This window comes from Homo sapiens, chromosome 19 (genome assembly GCF_000001405.40).
Source record: "Homo sapiens chromosome 19, GRCh38.p14 Primary Assembly".
In the NCBI taxonomy this organism is placed as follows: Eukaryota; Metazoa; Chordata; class Mammalia; order Primates; family Hominidae; genus Homo; species Homo sapiens.
Window position 1 is genome coordinate 9,635,156 of NC_000019.10, and position 20,740 is coordinate 9,655,895.

The 20,740-nt window shown below is 43.9% G+C and overlaps 1 protein-coding gene across 8 annotated transcripts in view; it reads right to left on the reverse strand.

Moving 5' to 3' along the window:
* Positions 1 to 6,651: 6,651 nt before the first annotated feature.
* Positions 6,652 to 20,740, reverse strand: part of ZNF562 (zinc finger protein 562) — a 33,294-nt gene continuing 19,205 nt past the window's right edge. For 5 of the 8 annotated variants that reach the window (NM_001300885.2, XM_047438996.1, XM_047438995.1 and 2 more), the window contains one exon: positions 13,499 to 18,723. In NM_001300885.2, coding sequence (NP_001287814.1) covers positions 17,794 to 18,723 — 930 coding nt within the window. In that variant the 3' untranslated portion in view covers positions 13,499 to 17,793. Of the gene's footprint in view, positions 18,727 to 20,740 lie in introns of all 8 variants that reach the window. The other 3 variants (NM_001130032.2, NM_017656.4, NM_001130031.2) reach the window with 1 other exon arrangement.

Sequence of the window (20,740 nt, forward strand, 5' to 3'; positions counted from 1 at the left end):
AATAATAATACAAATAAAAAAATGAAAATAAAGGCCAGGTGCTGTGGCTCACCCCTCTAATCCCAGCACTTTGGGAGGCTGAGGCAGGTGGATCACAAGGTCAGGAGTTCAAAACCAGCCTGGCCAAGATGGTGAAACCCCGTCTCTACTAAAAATACAAAAATTAGCTGGGCACAGTGGCAGGCGCCTGTAATCCCAGCTACTTGGGAGGCTGAGGCAGGATAATTGCTTAAACCTGGGTGGCAGAGGTTGCAGTGAGCCAAGATCATGCCACTGCACTCCAGCCTGGGCCACAGAGTGAGACTCCATCTCAAAAAAAAAAAAAAAAAAAGAAAAGAAAAAGAAAATACATAATTATCTGTTTATTCTGAGTATAGGGAAACACTGATAGGATTATTCTGAAAATAATAAGATTCAGAATCTATTGGGGATGGATGGGAACAGCTAGAACAGAATGGTGGGGTAAGAACAAGATGGAGGCTGGGCGTGGTGGCTCATGCCTGTAATCCCAGCACTTTGAGAGGCTAAGGCGGGCGGATCATGAAATCAAGAGATCAAGACCATCCTGGCCAACATGGTGAAACCCTGTCTCTACTAAAAATTCAAACATTAGCCAGGTGCGGTGGTGCATGCCTGTAGTCCCAGCTACTCAGGAGGCTGAGGCAGGAGAATCACTTGAACCCAGAAGGTGAAGGTTGCAGTGAGCTGAGATTGTGCCATTGCACTCCAGCCTGGGCAACAGAGCAAGACTCTGTCCCAAAACAAAAACAAAAACAAGATGTAGAGGATAGGGAAAGGGAAACCTCTCTGAGCTCTCTGAGCATAACATTCTGTTAGTTCTTATTACGCATGTCCAAGTAAAGAGACCACCAAGCAGTCTTTGAGTGAGCAACAATGGCTGTGTATTACATCCGGGTGTGGACGGGCTGAGTCTGACAAAACAGTCAGCAAAAGGTGGTGGGATTATCATTAGTTCTTATAGGTTTGGGATAGGTAGTGGAATTAGGAGCAATTTTTTTTGCAGGCAGGAGGTGGATGTTACAAAGTACATTCTCAAGGGCGGGGAGGATGTTACAAAGTACATTGACAAGGGTGGGGAGGGTGTATTGTCACAAGGGTGGGGTACATTCACAAGGGCAGGGAGGATGTATCCTACAAAGTACATTCAGAAGGGTGGGGGAATATCACAAAGTACATTATCACAAGGGCAGGGGGATGTCACGATGGCTTGATCATGATGCGGCCAGCTCAGAGGACCTTACATTCCTGCCTTTTTATGTTAATAATGCAGGTGGACTGCAGGTGGGGTACTATAGATGACTAAGTAGGGTCTGGTCCATTGAGGTTGTAGAGTTTGAGGGGTCAAATTCTTAACAAGAACTGATTGTCCAGCTAGGGCGTCTTCATATGGCTGGGAATCTGGAGTAGGCAAGAGAAGATTAGCAGCCTGGCGAATTTCCTGTCTAGCCTGCTGGAGGACTGGAAGATAGTCACCTAGAGGGCTGGTGTCTGGCAAGAGGTTGGGGCCTAACAAGAAGGTATGTCCATATAAAACTTCAAATGGACTATACCCTGTAGCTTCTTGAGGATAGGCTCTAATTCTAAAGAGGGCAAATGGTAACAGTACTGTCCAGTCTTTTTTAAGTTGGAGACTGAGCTTGGTGAGGTGTGTTTTTAACAGACTATTAGTTCTTTCTACCTTTCCCAAAGATTGAGGATGGTAAGGGGAATGGAGGTTCCACTGGATGCCGAGGGCCTGGGAGATGGCTTGTGTGATCTGACTAATGAAGGCCAGTCTGTTATTGGACTCTATAGAGGTGGGAAGGCCAAACCGAGGAATTATGTCTGACAGAAGGGAAGAAATGACCATGGTGGCCTTCTCAGACCCTGTGGGAAAGGCCTCTATGCATCCAGTGAATGTATCTACCCAGACAAAAAGGTATGTTAGTTTTTTGACTCAGGGCATATGAGTAAAGTCAATCTGCCAGTCTTGGGTGGGGGCAAATCATTGAGCTTGATGTGTAGGAAAGGGAGGGGGCCTAAGATATCCCTGAGGGGTGGTAGAGTAACAGATGGAACACCGAGAAGTAATTTCCCTGAGAATGGATTTCCATGATGGAAAAGAAATGGGAGGTTCTAAGAGATGGGCCATTGGCTTGTAACCAACATGAAAGAGGTTATGAAAGGACGATAAGATAGAATGAGACTGTGAGGCAGGAAGGAGGAATTTTCCTTGATCCAAGAACCATTTGCCTTGAGTAGGAAGGGATTGATAGGTCATAGTTTTAGTGGGAGTATAGGTGGAAGTGATAGATGAGAAGGAAAAAAAATGGCCATGAGGGACAGATGTGGGAATACTAGCTGCTTCTTTTGCTGCATTATCAGCATAAGCTTTGCCTTGAGCAGTGGGATCTGGTGACCTCTGAGGCCCCTTGCAGTGAATGACTCTGGCTTCCTTGGGCAGTAGAGCAGCCTTAAGGAGGATTTTTATTAAGGAAGCATTGATGATGGAGGACCCTTGTGTCATGAGAAAACCTTTTCCTGCCCATATAATAGCATGGTGATGTAGGATGTGGAAGGCATACTTGGAATCAGTGTAGATATTGACACATAGTCCCTTTACAAGGGTGAGAGCCCCAGTTAAAGCAATGAGTTTGGCTTGTTGAGAGGTAATGGAAGGGTGCAGGGCAGTAGCTTCAGTGACCGATGTGGAAGACAATACAGCATAGCCTGCCCTTGTTGGTGACCGACGATTTGGCCTTGAACTACCATCAATAAACCAAGTGTGGTCTGGATTAGCAACAAGAAAGAGGGAAATATGGGGAAATGTGGAGGATGCCATATGGATTAGAGAGATACAGTCATGAGGTTCAGGTTTGGTGCTAGGTATAAGGTGAGAGGCCGAGTTGAAGTCTGTGCCAGGAACAATGGTAATTGTGGGAGTTTCAATGAATAGTGAGTACAGTTGGAGGAGTGTGGGGGCAGAAAGTATATGCACCAAGTGTGAGGAGGAAAATAGATTTTGAAAATTATGAGAACTGTAGAGTAAGTGGGGCATGGTTTGTGATCTTGAGGGCCTCTGAAAGTATTGAAGTGGTGGCTGCCAGCACACATAGACATGAGGACCAGCCTAGAACTGTGAAGTTAAGTTGCTTGGATAGGAAGGCTACAGGCTGTGGGTCTGGTTCCTCTGTAAGAACTCCAACCACACAGCCTTGTATTTCAGCCGTACATAAGGAGAAGTATTGGGATGAGTTAGGGAGTGCTAATGTGGGAACTATTTCTAGGGCTGTCTTTAAGGAATGAAAAGAAGGGTGGGAAAAACTTAGGTTCTATGGGGTTGGTCAGGTTTCCCTTTATGAGTTTATGTAGGGGTTTAGTTAGGATGGCAAAACCTGGTATCCAAAGGCAAAAGTATCCAACCATGCCTAGGAAGGAAAGGAGTTGTTGCTTTGTAGAAGGGGTTGGGGTTTCAGAGATTAGCTGGACCCAGTTAGCAGGGAGAACACGTGTGTTTTGATGACAGACTATGCCAAGATAGGTAATGGATGGAGAAGAAATTTGGGCTTTAGAGGGGGATACATGATTCCCCTTTGAGAATAGATGTTGAAGGAGCAGGAGGGTATCCTGTTGGGAAGATTCATAAGAGGGGATGCAGAGGAGAAGGTCGTCCACATATTGAATAAGGTGAGAAACAGATGGACAGAAAGAAAGTAAATCATGAGAAAGAGCTTGACTAAAGTAATGGGGGTTGTCTCTGAAGCCTTGTGGCAGTACAGTCCAGGTAAGTTGCTGAGATTGGTGGGTGACAGGATCAGTCCATGTGAAAGCAAAAAGAGGTCGGGATGAGGGGTGCAAAGGAATAGTGAAGAAAGCATCTTTGAGGTTGAGGACAGAATAATGAGTTGTTGAGGGAGGTATTGAGGATAGGAGAGTATATGGGTTTGGCACCACGGATGGATAGGTTAGACAATTTGGTTAATAAAGCAAAGATCCTGAACCAACCTGTAAGATTTGTCTGGTTTCTGGACAGGTAGGATAGGGGAGTTGTAAGAATTTGTAGGCTTTAAAAGGCCATGCTGTAACAGGAGAGTGATAGCAGGCTTTAGTCCTTTTAAAGCCTGTTGTGGGATGGAGTACTGGTGTTGAGTGGGGTAAGGGTGATTAGGTTTTAATGGGATGGTAAGGGGTGCCTGATCAGTCACCAAGGAGGGCATAGTGGTATCCCATACCTGTGGATTAAGGTAGGGAGACATGAGACGAGGATGCAAAAGAGGCTTGGAATCAGGCATAAGGACAGCAATGAGGTGTGGCTATAGTCCAGGAATAGTCAAGGAAGCAGATAATTTAGTTAAAATGTCTCAGCCTGATAAGGGAACTGGGCAGGTAGGGATAACTAAAAAAGAGTGCATAAAAGAATATTGTCCAAGTTGGCACCAGAGTTGGGGAGTTTTAAGGGGTCTAGAAGCCTAGCCATCAATACCCACAACAGTTACAGGGGCAAGGGAAACAGGCCCCTGAGAAGAAGGTAAAGTGGAGCGGGTATCCCCCATATCAATTAAACAGGGGATGGACTTAACCTCCACTGTAAGAGTTACCCAAAGCTTGGTGTCCATCATGGTCCAGGGGGCTTCTGAGATGATTGGGCAGCATCAGTCTTCAGCCGCTAAGCCAAGGAGATCTGGGAAGGAGTCAGCTAAGGAACGTTGGATTTGAGCTCCAGGAGCTTTAGGAGTGGTGGTCATGTGAGTCAGAGAGTCTGACTTCCAGTGGGGGCCCTCACAGACAGGGCACGGCTTACAAAGAATCCCAAGATATGGTGGCACTTGGCAGCTTTTTCTTGGTTACTGAACACCTTGAAGGCGAGGTTGATTAAATCCTGTTGTGGGGCTTGAGGGCTGGAATCCAATTTTTGGAGTTCTTTTTCTAATGTTAGGAGTGGATTGGGTGATAAAATGCATATTAATGATAAGGGGGCCTTCTGTCCCCCATGGGTCTAGGGCTGTAAAGCATCTAAAGGTAACTGCTAATTGGGCCATAAACTGGGCTGGGTTTTCGTCTTTACATTGGGTAGTTTTCTTTAGCTTGTCATAATTAACAGCACTGTATGCTGCCTTTTTGAGCCCCTCAACTATGCAGGAGACCATGTAATCTTGCCTAGCTATACCTGGGGATTCCGTCTGGTATTGCCAATGGGGATCCTCTCAGGGAATTGCCCTGGTGCCCTCTTGGAGGTCTGGCTCATGAAGCCAGTGGGTGTCTTTGTAGGACTGGGCTAGAAAATAAACTCTTTCTCGTTCGTCTGGGAAGGGGGTAAAGGTCAGGATGACATTTAAGTCACTCCAGGTTAAGTTGTAGGACTGAGTTAGATATTGGAATTCCTGTATATATTTAGTGGGGTCCTATGAGAAAGAGTCTAAATGCTGGCTCATTTGGGAAAGGTCTGATAGAGAAAAAGGCACATGTACCCTCACTATGCCTTCAGCTCCAGCCACCTAAGAGGAAATTTTTGGGCATGTGGGGGAGAGCTAGTCACAGAACAAAACTATAAGCCAGACAGGGTGTGAGGAGGGGAGGTAATAGAAGCGTTATAGGGTGGGGTAGCAGAGGCTGCAGAAGAATTGGGACCCAATTCAGCCTGGCGAGGAGCAGCTGGGGGAGGAGGAGAGAGGTCAGAGGGGTCAGTGGAAAAGGAGGATTCAGAGGACTCTGAGCTTGGGGTGGAGAACAAAGAAGCAGACGGGAGAGAAAGAAGGAAAATCTGGGACAAGTCTCATTGGGAGCAGAAACTAGGGAGGGAGTAAAGTGTAAAAAATGCCTGGACATCAGGCATCTCAGACCATTTGCCCAATTTTCAACAAAAATTATCTAGGTCTTGTAGGATAGACAAATCAAAAGTGCCTTTCTCTGGCCACTTGGAAAAACTGTCAAGTTTGTATTGGGGCCAAGTGGTATTACAGAAGAAAACAAGACGTTCAGGTTTTAGGTCAGGTGTTAGTCAAAGGGGTGTTAGGTTTCTAAGAACACAGGCTAAGGGGGAAGAGAGAGGAATGGAATGCAGAAGGTTGCCCTTAGTGGAGAAGGTAAGTTTAAAGAGGAAGGTAGACACATGGAGAAATGGAGGTGGGCAGCTACCAGTCTTCCAGTAGGCATCCCTGACTGAGTCCTGGGCTTTAATGTGGGTGAGCAGCCAAAGCAGGCATCCCTGCAATTGACCTGCCATCAAGGGAATGTGGGTGAATGATCAAGGAAGGCATCTCCGCAGTGATCAAACGCCAAGGGAAGACTGTCTTCCCAAGTCCATGACCAACATCGGAGTCTTTGGATGCACGGATAAAATGTGTCTGCTTTTTGTCTCTACTAGGAAGGGAGAGAAACTGAAACTGAAAGAAGAGAGATTGAAGGGAGGTGAGAGAGGTTAGGTAGAGAGCAAAAAAACCGCTTATCCAAGTGCAAAAAAACCGCTTACCGATTTGAAATTAGTGAGACGATCCTTGGGCTGGCTGGTCTGATGACCCGAGGTCATAGGTGGATCTCCTCATGGAGGGAGTGTAATGACAGGGGATGGGTCTCCTGAGGAGTTCTAATGTCCCAGGTTTCAGCACAAAATGTTACATGCGTCTGAGTAAAGAGAGCACCTAGCAGGCTTTGTGCGAGCAACAATGGCTGTGTATTACATCCGGATGTGGATGGGCTGTCCAACAAAACAGTCAGCAAAGGGTGGTGGGATTATCATTAGTTCTCATAGGTTTGGGATAAGCGGTGGAGTTAGGAGCAATTTTTTTTGTAGGCAGTGGGGTGGACGTTACAAAGTACATTCTCAAGGGCGGGGAGGATGTTACAAAGTACATTCACAAGGGCGGGGAGGGTGTATCATCACAAGGGTGGGGAGGAAGGTTACAAAGTACATTTACAAGGAGAGGAAAGGTGTACTGTCACAAGGGCCAATGGCAGGGTACATTCACTAGGTGGGGGAGGATGTATCTTATAAAGTACATTCACAAGGGCAGGGGAATATCACAAAGTACATTATCACAAGGGCGGGGGGATGTCACAATGGCTTGACCATGGTATGGCCAGCTCAGAGTACCTTACAGTTCTGATGTTTAAAATTACATTCTTTTTTTTCTTTAAAAAAAAAAAAAAAAACAGGGTTTCACTCTGTCACACAGGCTGAAGTATAGTGGCATTATCATGGCTCACTGCAGCCTTTACTTCCTGGGCTCAAGCAGTCCTTTGCCTGAGTACCAGGGACTACATACGTGCACCACCACATCCAGCTAATTTTTAAAAATATATTTTGTAGAGAAGAGATCTCTCTATGTTGCCTAGGCTGCCCTCAAACTCCTGAGCTCAAGCGATCATCCTTCCTTGGCCTCCCACATTGTTGGCATTACAACTGTGAGCCACTCTGCTTGGCCCTTTATTCTTTTACATATTTAATTTTTTAAAAAATCAACAAAGATAGAGGGAAAACCCAAAATGGAATACGAACAGGAACAATCAATCTGAACTTTGTATCAAATGGGTAATAAGACTATGTAACAGGAACAACACAACAACAGTTGCTGCCTAGACATTAGAAATAGAGGCCAGGCACAGTGGCTCAACCCTGTCATCCTAGCATTTTGGGAGGCTGATGCAGAAGGATAACTTGAACAGGATTTCAAGACCAGCCTGGGCAATATAGTGAGACACAGTCTCGACCAAAAAAAAAAAAATTTAAAAATAAAAAAATTAGCCGGGCCTGGTGGTACATGCCTGCATTCCCAGCTACTCAGAAGGCTGAGGTGAGAGGATTGCTTGAGCCCAGGAGGTCGAGGCTGCAGTGAGCTATGATTGCACCACTGCACTCCAGCCTAGGTGACATGGCAAGACACTGTCTCTGGAAAAAAAAAAAAAAAAAAAGAACACCACCGGCCACTGTGGCTCATTCCTGTAATCCCAGCACTTTGGGAGGTTGAATCAGGCTGAATCAGGGGGGTCTCAGGAGTTCAAGACCATCCTGGCCAACATGGCAAAACCCCGCCTCTACTGAAAATACAAAAATTAGCTGGGTGTGGTGGTGCACACCTGTAATCCCAGGTACTTGGGAGGCTGAGGCAGGAGAATCACTTGAACCCAGGAATTGGAGGTTGCAGTGAGCTGAGATCACGCCACTGCACTCCAGCCTGGGTGACAGAGCGAGACTCTGTCATTCATAAATAAATAAGTTTAGAAAAAAAAAATGTGTCTGAAAGGGTCTTGAGCATCCCTCTGGGCAAATTCCAGGCATCATCCATAATGATGAATGCACAAATACAAAGATACGAATGAGCCAGAGCCAACCTTATATTCCTGCAGTAAATGCCACTGGGTTTACTATTTTCTTATCAAGCAGTTGGAATTTATTTGCTAATCCGTTCCTTCCTAGCTTCCTTTTTTCCTTCTTTTTTTTTTTTTTTTAAATGGAGTCTTGCTCTGTTGCCCAGGCTGGAATGCAGTGGCATGATCTTGGCTCACTGCATTTTTTAATTTTTAAGTTTTTTGTAGATGGGGGGCTTGCTATGCTGTCCAGGCAGGTCTCGAACTCCTGAGCTCAAGTAATCCTTTTGCCTCCTTTCAAAGTGTTGAGACTCCAGGCATAAGCCACTTTGCCCAGTTGCTACTATTATACTTAGCGCATTTTTTTGTTTGTTTGTTTTTTGAGACAGTCTTACTCTGTATCCCAGGCTGGAGTGCAGTGGTGTGATCTCGGTTCACTGTAACCTCCTGCCTCAGCCTCCCGAGTAGCTAGGAATACATGCACATGCCACCACGCCCAGCTATATTTTTTTAGTTTTAGTAGATACAAGGTTTCACCGTTTTAGCCAGGATCATCTCAATCTGACCTTGTGATCCACCTGCCTCAGCCTCCCAAAGTGCTGGGATTACAGGCATGTGAGCCACCGTACCTGGCTTACTTAGTGAATTTGTACCAATATTCATTACCAATATAATTCTGTAGTTTTTAATGACTGTACTGTTTTTATCAGTGATAAAAACGATACATATATACATCTTGTACTGCATCATAAAAAGATTTAGCAAGATTTGCTTCATTGTTAATACTCTGAAAGGATTTATGGAGAATTAGGACCAATTGGACCTTGAAAATGTCATGTAAAGATGTCTGGCTGGGCATGGTGGCTCATGCTTGTAATCCCAGCACTTTGGGAGGCCCAGAAGAGAGGATTACTCTAGCTCAGGAGTTTGAGGACAGCCTGGGCAATGGAGTGAGATACCTTCTCTACCAAAATAAAAAAGTGTGAGTTTAGGTGCTGTGTTCCTTGTTGTTGTTACAGTGTGAGCCACCGTGCCTGGCCGAGACTGGGTAAGTTATGAAGAAAAAGAGGTTTAATGGACTCACAGTTCCACATGGCTGGGGAGGCCTCAAAATCATGACAGAAGGTGAAGGAGGAGCAAAGGCACATCTTATATGGCAGAAGGCAAGAGAGCCTGTCCAGGGGAACAGCTGCTTATAAAACTGACAGACCTCATGAGATTTACTCACTGTGACAAAAACAGCACACGCCTATTATCCCAGCTACTTGGCTGACTGAGGCATGAGAATTACTTGAACAGCATGGGGAAACCCCCCCCCATGATTCTATTACCTCCCACCTGGTCTCTCCCTCGACACCATGGGGATTATGGGAGCTACAATTCAAGATGACATTTGGGTGGGGACACAGCCAAACCATATCAGCTGGCAACTTGCTTGCAGCTCATAACATCAACTGTTTCTTTGGGCCTTCAGTCCTGCTGACTTCCGGCCTCCTGAGTCCCTAAGCAGAGGAATACGAATTCAAATCTTGATTTTCTCATTGCAGCTCATAGTGGGAGATGCCCAGTCTCTCTGTGAACATTGACAGAATTTTTTTTTTTTTTTTGAGACAGAGTCTCACACTGTCACCAGGCTGGAGTGCCGTGGCGCAATATCAGCTCACTGTAACCTCCACCTCCCAGGTTGAAGTGATTCTCCCATCTCAGCCCCCAAGTAGCTGGGACTACAGGTGAGTGCCACCACACCCAGCTAATTTTTGTATTTTTAGTAGAGATGGGGGTTCACCATGTTGCCCAAAATGGTCTCAATCTCTTGGCCTCGTGATCCAACCATCTCAGCCTCCCAAAGTGCTGGGTTTAAAGGCATGAGCCACTGTGCCTGGCCCAGAATTCTTTACTGCTAACACGAGTGGGCCTGGTTCTGGAGGATTTCCCAGTGGGTCCTGAAGAACCACAGTTTATTGGCTTGTGGGCAAAGGGGTATGTGTATCAGTTGGCCTTTACTGTGTAATAAACAGCCACAAAAATTACTAGCTGAAAACAGCAGCTACTTAATTAGCAGAAGCCTCTTGAGGATGGACTTGCAAACCAAAGTTGTGCTGGTTTCTACTGGTCAAAGCAAGGACTGGCTCACATAAAAAGGAGAGAGATTGCACCTTCAGAGAGTAATCTCAAGACATCTGTAATCTACCACAGGGTGTCACTGGGCCTCTGTCAAGGAGCCTATTCTTTCTGCCACCAGATCTGTCTAATAGCTTGTGTGACAATGCACTTCCTTCTGGGTCTCTCTCCAAGTGTAGTAAGTGTATATGGGAATCACTTTATTCAAACAGTGTAGTGCACTTAGTTAGAAAGAAAAGGTATTAAGGAAGACTTATATTTAAAATTGTTATTTATGGTAACAACGAAAAGTAACATACAAATTTCAAACATCAAGAATAAAATAAATTAAAGGTATGATCAATACACATCAGTACAAAGAGGGGAACACAATGAAACAAACAAAAAAAATTAGATGCTAGAAATTAATCCAAATTATTACTAATTAAATGTCAGGCACTAAATGTGCAACATAAAAGGATTGTTAATTGGTATTATTCAAGTATTTTTTCTTTTTTTTTTTTTTTTTGTGACAGAGTTTCACTCTTGTTGCCCAGGCTGCAGTGCAATGGCGTGATCTCGGCTCACTGCAACCTCTGCCTCCCGGGTTCAAATGATTCTCCTGCCTCAGCCTCCCAAGTAGCTGGCATTACAGGCATGCACCACTAGGCACAGCTAATTTTGTATTTTTAGTAGAGATGGGGTTTCTCAGTGTTGGTCAGGCTGGTCTCGAACTCCCGACCTCAGGTGATCACCTGCCTTGGCCTCCCAAAGTGCTGTGATTACAGACATCAGCCACTATGCCCAGCGGTATACAGATTTTTTAAAACTCCAGCTAAAGTATGTATAAAAAGACACATTTTTTTAAAAAGCATACAGAAAGACTAAGAAGTAGAGGAAAATCAAGCTGATGTAACTATATAAATATCTAACAGAATTAGTGGAACAGAAAACATGCAAGAAATAGTGTAGATTTTTCAAGCGAAATATCTGAAAGAATTCATAAACCTGGGTACTCTCTACCAAGATTAACACAAGCAAAGGGAAAGAATGCACAATTAATAAGTTATTCCAGAATGCAAAAGGAGACTGAAGTTATACAACCAGCAAAAATGAAAAATATAAAAAGTATAAATTTTTGCTACACATTTGGAAATAAAAACATGCCTAGAAGAATATTCTCAAAATACTTATGCAAGCCTTAGTTGTCTTTTTTTTTTTTTTTTTATGAGATGGAGTTTTGCTCTTGTCACCCAGGCTGGAGTGCAGTGGCAAGAACTCAACTCACTGCAACCTTCGCCTCCCAGATTCAAGCAATTCTCCTGCCTCAGCCTCCCAAGCGGCTGGGATTACAGGCGCCCGCCAACTCACCTGGCTAATTTTATTTTTTGAATTTTTAGTAGAGACAAAAGTTTCACCGCATTGGCCAGGCTGGTCTCGAACTCCTGACCTCAGGTGACCCCCTGCCTTGACCTCCCAAAGTGCTGTGATTAAAGCCGTGAAGCACCGTGCCCAACCTAGTTGTCTTTTTTTTTTTTTTTGAGACGGATTCTCGCTCTGTCGTCAGGCTGGAGTGCAGTGGTGTGATCTAGGCTCATTGAAACCTCCACTTCAGGGGTTCAAGAGATTCTCCTGCCTCAGCCTCCTGAGTAGCTGGGATTACAGGGGCACAATACCGTGCCCAGCTAATTTTTGTATTTTTAGTAAAGACGGGGTTTCAACATGTTGGCCAGGATGGTCTTGATCTCTTGACCTCATGATCTGCCTGCCTCAGCCTCCCAAAGTGGTGGGATTACAGGCATGAGCCACCACTCCCAGCCTGATAACTGTTTTATTTATTTATTTTTATTTTTTTGGAGATATGGGGTCTGTGTTGCCCAGACTGATCTTGAACTCCTGGCCTCAAGGAATCCTTCTGACTGAGCTTCCCAGTGTGCTGGGATTAAAAGTGTGAGCCACTATGACCAGCCAGAAGAGATAATTTTAACTTTTTAAAATATTTTGCAGTATTGGCCGGGCACAGTGGCTTGTGCCTGTAATCCCAGTACTTTGGGAGTATGAGGCATGCAGATCACCTGAGGTCAGGAGTTTGAGACCAGCCTGGCCAACTTGATGAAACCGTCTCTACTAAAAATACAAAAATCAGCCAGGCAAGGTGGAGGCTGTCTGTAATCTCAGCTACTCGGGAGGCTGAGGCAGGAGAACCACTGGAACCCAGGAGGTGGAATTTGCAGTAAGTTGAGATCACACCATTGCACTCCAGCCTGGGCAACGAGTGAAACACTAACTCAAAAACAAAGAAACAAACACCAACTCAAAAACAAAGAAACAAACCAAAAAAATGAAAATATCTTGTAGTATTTTTAAATAGAGATGTGGTTTCGCTATGTTGCCCAGGCTGGTTTGAACTCCTTGGCTCAAGGGATCTTTTTGCCTCAGCCTCCAAAAGTGCTGGGATTACAGGCCTGAGCCACTATTCCCAACCTAGATGACTCTTATAGATTAAGAATTTAGAAATAGTAGGAACATGCCCCACTACAGTATATGACAGTCATTATATACAAATATCATTAAGGGACAATTTTTTAAAAATCACAATGTTATTCAAACATAGCTCCATAACATATTAGTAAAGGTCATGAAGTATTTTTAAGTGATCCATTATGTCACAGTCGAGCTTATCCAGGAATACAAGGTTGATGTAACATTGGAAAAGCAATAAATACAAATACCACATTTATTTAATTTAATTTATTTATTTTTGACAGAGTCGCACCCTGTCACCCAGCATGGAGTGCAGTGGTGCAATCTTGGCTCAATGCAACCTCCACCTCCCAGGTTCAAGTGATTCTCCTGCTTCAGCCTCCCAAGTAGCTGGGATTACAGGTGCACATCACCACACCCAGCTAATTTTTGTATTGTTAGTAGAGATGGGGTTTCACCATGTTGGCTGGGCTGGTCTCGAACTCTTGACCTCAAATGATCTGCCCACCCCCACCTCCCAAATTGCTGGGATTACAGGCATAAGCCCCCACACCCAGCCTGACCACATTTGTTTTAGAAAAGCGCCTTTCCATGCATTCACTTCTTCAAGTTTTTTTTTTGTTTTGTTTTTGTTTTTTTTTTTGAGATGGGGTCTTGCTATGTTGCCTAAGCTGGTCTAGAACCCCTGGGCTCAGGCCACCCTCCCAAGTAGCTAAAACTATAGGCATGCATCACCACATCATTTCATTGAAGTATTTATTAGGTACCATCATGAGCTAGGTGCAGTTCTAGGTATTGAGTTTTATCAGTAAATAAACATGATCATCACAGAGGATGTGAAGGAAGCATTTAATAAATTCAAGAGGAATTCAGCCTCATAAACTATGAAATATTGGGAAATAATTCATCATGTAAAAACTGGATATAAAGAAAAAACTTTTCCTGCAGGACATTGTTGCAGGAAGTCAGGGACCCCAAACGGGGGGACTGGCTGAAGCCATGGCAGAAAAACATGGATTGTGAAGGTTTCATGGACATTTATTAGTTCCCCAAATTAATACTTTTATAATTTCTTATGCCTGTCTTTACTGCAATCTCTAAACATAAATTGTAAAGATTTCATGGACACTTATCACTTCCCCAGTCAATACCCTTGTGATTTCCTATGCCTGTCTTTACTTTAATCTCTCAATCCTGTCAGCTGAGGAGGATGTATATTACCTCAGGACCCTGTAATAATTGCATTAACTGCACAAATTATACAGCATGTGTGTTTGAGCAATATGAAATCTGGGCACCTTGAAAAAAGAACAGGATAACAGCAATGTTTAGGAAACAAGAGAGATAACCTTAAATTCTGACCGCCGGTGAGCCAGGTGGAACAAAGCCACATTTCTCTTCTTTCACAAGCAAATGGGAGAAATATCACTGAATTCTTTTTCTCAGCAAGGAACATCCTTGAGAAAGAGAATGCACACCTGGGAGTGGGTCTCTGAACTGGCCCCCCTGGGTGTAGCCATCTCTTATGGTCGAGACTGCAGGGGTGAAATAGACCCCAGTCTCCCATAGCACTCCCAGGCTTATTAGGAAGAGGAAATTCCCACCTAATAAATTTTAGTCAGACCAGTTGATCTCAAAACCGTCTCCTGATAAGATGTTATCAATGACAATGGTGCCCAAAACTTCATTAGCAATTTTAATTTCACCTTGGTCCTGTGATCTCGCCCTGCCTCCACTTGCCTTGTGATATTCTATTACCTTGTAAAGTACTTGATGTCTGTGACCCACACCTATTTGCACACTCCCTCCCCTTTTGAAAATCCCTAATAAAAACTTGCTGGTTTTTGCGGCTTGTGGGGCATCACGGAACCTACCGACATGTGATGTCTGCCCCGGACACCCAGCTTTAAAATTTCTCTCTTTTGTACTCTGTCCCTTTATTTCTCAAGTTGGCTGACACTTAGGGAAAATAGAAAAGAACCTATGTGAATATCGGGGCTGGTTCCCTGACAGGACATAACCTCTTCAAAAAATAAAAAAGAAATAAAAGCCTACAGCCAAACCAACAAAATAGAGTGCATATCTCACCAGAACTGCAAAGACAAGTATGCTGGTATTACTACTTTTAGTTGGTGTTGTGCAGCGGGTTAAAATCAGTCCAGTAAAGCAAGAAAATATTTAGAGAGAGCTTCATCATCATACGAATTTTGGGGGTCATTGTTCAGTCCAAAGTACTTAATATGATTCTTTTCTCTTTCCACATAGAGAATCAGATAATCTATAAATAATGACTCTTACTGTTCCACTTTAGGAGTTAGGTATACATACATATGTGTATATATATGTATATATATATACACATACACACACACACACACACACACACAGTGACCCCCCAAATTTCATATGAAGTTCCAAACCTCAATGTGACTGTATGTGAAAAGAGAAGGGGGCGGGGAGGGGGGAGACCGACCGACCTATTTGTTGGTCTCCATCGTGTGAAAACATGAGGAAGTGGGCACTTACATGCCAGGAAGAGAGCTCTCACTAGAGGTTGACCATGCTGGCACTCTGATCTCAGACTTCCAGCCTCCAGATATGTGAGAATATAAATTTGTGTTTTGGGCCAGATACGGTGGCTCAGGCCTGTAATCCCAGCACTTTGGGAGGCCAAGGCAGGTGGATCACCAAAGGTCAGATCTGACCAACATGGAGATCAGCCTAACCAACATGGAGAAACCCTGTCTCTACTAAAAATACAAACTTAGCTAAGGTTTGTGGTGCATGCCAATAATCCCAGCTACTGAGGGTGAGGCAGGAGAATCACTGGAACTCAGGAGGTGGAGGTTGCGGTGAGCCAAGATCATACCATTGCACTCCAGCCTGGGCAACAAGAGCAAAACTCCATCTCAAAAAAAAAAAAAAAAAAAAAAAAAAAATCCTGTGTTTTTAACCTCATTGATTTAAAATTAAATTAATTTCTAAGCCATTTGGTCTGCGGTATTCTCTTATGGTTGTCTGAGCTGACTAAGGCAGATATTGGTACTGAGAAGTGAGGTACTGCAATTAAAAACAAACAAAAAAACTAAAAATGTGAAGCAGCTTTGAAACTGACAAATGAGTAGAGGCTGGAAAAATTCTGATGTGCAAGCTGGAAATAAGGTTGGTAAGGGTTATTCTGGTGAGGTGTCATTGGGGAATGAGGAACATGCTATTGGGAAATGAAGAAAAGACAACCCTTGATATAAAGTGGTGAAGAACTTGGCAGAACTGTATTCTAGCATTTTACGGAAGGTAGAGCTTGAGACAGATAAAATGGTATGTATCACTAAGATCTGTAATTAAAGTGTTAAAGGACACAGGAAGCTTCATTATTCCTGAGTGCTTACAGGAAAATGTGCTGGGAACAGGCCCCCCAAATCTGGCCATAAACAGGCAATGAGAAACTGGCCATAAACAAAATCTCTGCAGCACTGTGACATGCTCGTGATGGCTATGACGCCCATGCTGGAGGCTGCTGGTTTACCAGAATGAGGGCAAGCAACACCTGGCCCACCCAGGGCAGAAAACTGGAAAACTGCTCAAGGCATTCCTAAACCACAAACAATAGCATGAGTGATTTGTGCCTTAAGGACATATTCCTGTTGCAGATAACAAGCCAGAGCCTGTCCCTTTCTTTCTCATAAGGAATACTTATAGCTGATCTACAATCTATAGGAATAATGTTTATCACAGGCTTACTGTCAATAAATATGTGGGTCAAACTCTGTTCAAGCTCAGCTCTGAAGGCTGTGAGCCCCGATTCCCACTCTGCACTATATTTCTGTGTCTTTGTCTTAATTCCTCTAGAGCCACTGGGTTAGGGTCTCCACGACCCAGCTGGTCTCGGCAAAAATGCAAAAGGAGACCTGAATTGCAGAAGAAATTGTTAAGGAAAAAGGAACCAGAACTTGGAGATTTGGAAAATTCTCAGCCTATCCATACTGCAAAAATTAGAAAACTTGTACTGAAGAGAATCCTCAAAGTGTGGCTGAACAATCATTTGATAAAGAGATCATGAGTGGGATTCATGGACTATATCAGCCATCTTAACAGAAGTGAGAAGAGAGACTGGATTATACTATAAGAGACACTGCCACTTACATTGTGCCACCTAAAATGGACAGAGAAGACAGAACAGAACAGTCAAGGTTGTCACACTTCTTATTTTACAAGAAGGGGACATAGAAATAATCAGCTGTGAAAGGGCACTGGCAGTTATGGATGGTTTCACTCCTGACATGCTCTGCAGGATCCATGGGAACAGAAGAGAACCTTGGAGGAGCATCTTTTTAACAATCCACCTCTGGGGCCTACATCATCTTGGCTTCTGGTAAATTTTGACATGAATGTGCCACACTGGCAGCCACTAACCAACAGGGGCTGGGATCAATCTGCATGATTTATCTCGTACAGAACTTGTTAATGCTATGATCTTAGGAATCTAATCACCAAGGTGAGGCAGCCTGCAGTACTGACCTCACCATCCATGACCCTTCTTCACAGATGCCCAGACTCAGGTAACCATGATGTTGTATTCAGAACCTGTAGGTTTAATTTCAGACCCTCGGGATGCATCTAAGGCCAATCTGTGAGCCATTACAACCTCCAAAAGGCATTTAGGACTAATCTGATGATCTTTGCACTGCCAATAATTAAAGATGGCAACCAATGGGCTAAATGGTAACAACACTCATATCCTTACATTCATAGTATTTCTCCCCAGTGTGAATTCTTTCATGCATACTTAGGCATGAGGAAAGAGCAAATGCTTTCCCAAATTCTTTACATACAAAAGGTTTCTCTCTGGTAGGAGTTCACAGGTGGGGTGAGGAATACAGAAATTCTTTCCCACATATCTTGCATTTACCTTTCTCCACTGTGAGTTTTCAAATGTTTACTACGATGGGAAGAAGTAATGAAGGTCTTCCCACATTCAACACATTCATAAGGCTTCTCTCCTGTGTGAATTCTTCTATGTTGAGTAAGCGTTGAAGATCTATTGAAGGCTTTCCCACATTCCTTACACTGATAGGGTTTCTCTCCAGTGTGATTTCGTATGTGTATAGCAAGGCCCGTGTACTGAGTGAAGGCTTGGCCACATTCCTTACATTCATAGGGTTTTATTCCAGTGTGAGTTCTTACATGTTGAGTAAGGTGAGTTGATCTAGTGAAGGCTTTCCCACATTCCGTACATTTGTGTGGTTTTATTCCAGTGTGAATTTGAATGTGAACATTAAAGGATGAGGAATTTCTAAAGGATCTTCCACATTCTTTACATTCAAAGGACTTCTCTCCTTTATGAGTTTTTGCATGTGCAGAAAGTTGAGAAAAATTAGTGAAGGATTTCCCACAGTTCTTAGTCTTTTCGGATTTCTTTCCAGTATGAACTGCTACACACTGCTTTAAGTGTGAGGAAGTTGTGATGGCTCTCTCACATTCCTGAAATTCACAGAGTTTCTCTCCAATGTGGATTCCCATGTGATTATCAAGGCTTGCAAAATACTTAAAGCCTTTTCCACATTCCTTACATTTGTAGGGTTGTCTTCCATTGAGAATTTCAAGATGCACAGCAAGGCCTGGAGTTAAGGTGAAGACTTTTCCACATGGATTAAATTTGGAAAGTTCTTGTCCAATAGAGGCTTCCTTGTGCACACTGATGCTGTCTTTTCCATAACAATTACCCTCAAAAGTGTTCCCTCCATTCTGAGCTCTCATGTGTGTCTTAAGGCAAAACTGTTCACTGAAGACCTCTCCACAATTCTCACAGAGTTTCCATCCACTGTAGCTTCTTGTCTGCTGATGAGGGGATAAAGGATTTAAAATGTTTTCAGACATATTAAGAGATTTCACCCATCTGAACACAGAAACATTATTTTGATGACAATTATTTTACTTTTTAATGTTTAATTTTTTTTTTTTTTTTGAGACAGAGTCTTGTTCTATCTCCCAGTCTACAGTGCAGTGGCACAATCTCTGCTAACTGCAACCTTCACCTCCCAGGCTCAAGTGATTCTCCTGCCTCAGCCTCCCGAGTAGCTGGAAATACAGGTGTGCACTACTGCACTGGGGAGTTTTTCTACTTTTTTTGTAGACATGGGTTTTGCCAAGTTGCCCAGGCTGGTCTCAAACTCCTGAGTTCAGGTGAACTGCCTGTCTTGGCCTCCCAAAGTGGTAAGATTACAGGCGTGACCCACCATGCACAACATGTTTTACTTTTTTCAGAGCTGGGGTTTTGCTCCATTGCCTGGTCTATAGTGCACTGCAGTGATCATGGCTCACTGTAACCTCAAACGCCTGGCTGGGTTCAAGTGATCACCCTAGCTAAAAGCTGTGTAGCTAGGACTAGAGGCATGCATCATCCAATTTTTTGATTTATTTATTTATTTTATTTTATTTATTTTTGAGATGGAGTCTCACTTTGGCTGGAGTGCAGTGTCACGATTTCGGCTCACTGCAACCTCCGCCTCCTGGGTTCAAGCGGTTCTTCTGCCTCAGCCTGCCAACTAGCATGTGCAACCAGACCCAGCTAATTTTTGTATTTTTCCTACAGATGGGACTTCATCATGTTAGCCAGGGTGTTCTCAAACTCTTGACCTTCTCATCCGCCTGCCTAGGCCTCCGAAAGTGCTGGAATTACAGGCATGAGGCACTGCGCCCGGCCTCAATTTATTTTTATAGAGACAGGGTCTTGGTATGTAGCCTAGGCTGGTCTCAAACTCTACAAGAAACCCCCGTCTCAGCCTCCCAAACTGCTGGGATTACAGCCATGAGCTACCAAGTCAGCCTACTTTGATAACCATAATTTTTACAATATTTCTTCCATGGTTTCATTTCCTACCCTCTTGATCTCTTGCCAGAATTCTATGCCACTGGCTCTAATTGTTCAAAAAAAAACTGTCTTTTTTTGATTGTTGGGGGTGGTTTGAGACAGGGTCTCACTCTGTCACCCAGGCTGGGTACCATGGCACAATCACAGCTCACTGCAGCCTTAAACTCCCAGGCTCAAGCCATCATCCTGCCTCAGTCTCCTGAGGAGCCTGGATTACAGGTGCATGCCAACGTGCCCGGCTAATTTTTTATTTTTTTGTAGAGACAGAGTCTCCCTGTTGCCCAGGCTGGTCTTGATCTCCTAGACTCAAGCAATTCTCCTGCCTCAGCTTCCCAAAGTGCTGGGATTGCAGGTGTCAGCCATTGCACCCAGCCAAATTGTGCAGATTTTCATGAAACTTTAAATCCTCAATGTCTAGTTACATATGTGGGAATATGTACTTGTCGGTATTTTTCAGTGACAAGTTATACAGGTATGGAACATCAGAAAATTCATCACATTCAGACTATCTCTCCAGAGACCCTGCTCCCTCAAGGGTGCAGGCTACTTCTCTCTCAAGTATCTCTCATTTGTGCTGTTTCTTTTTCATGCCAACTCCACCTCCCGTGTTTAAGCAATTCTGCCTCAGCCTCCCATGTAACTGGGATTACAGGTGCCCACCACACCTGGCTAATTTTGTATTTTTAGTAGAGACAGAGTTTCACCATGTTGGTCAGGCTGGTCTCAAAGTGCTAACCTCAAGTGATCCACACACCTCCACATCCCAAAGTGCTGGGATTACAGGATTCACTTTCTTTTCTTTCTTTTTTTTTTTTTTTTTTTTTTTTTTTTTTTTTTTAGATGGAGTCTCACTTGGTCATCTAAGCTGGAATGCAGTGGTGCAGTGCTGGCTCACTCAGCAACCTCGGCCTCTGGGTAAGCAATTGTCCTGCCTCAGCCGCCCGAGTAACTAGGATAACGGGTGCCCACCACCACACACAG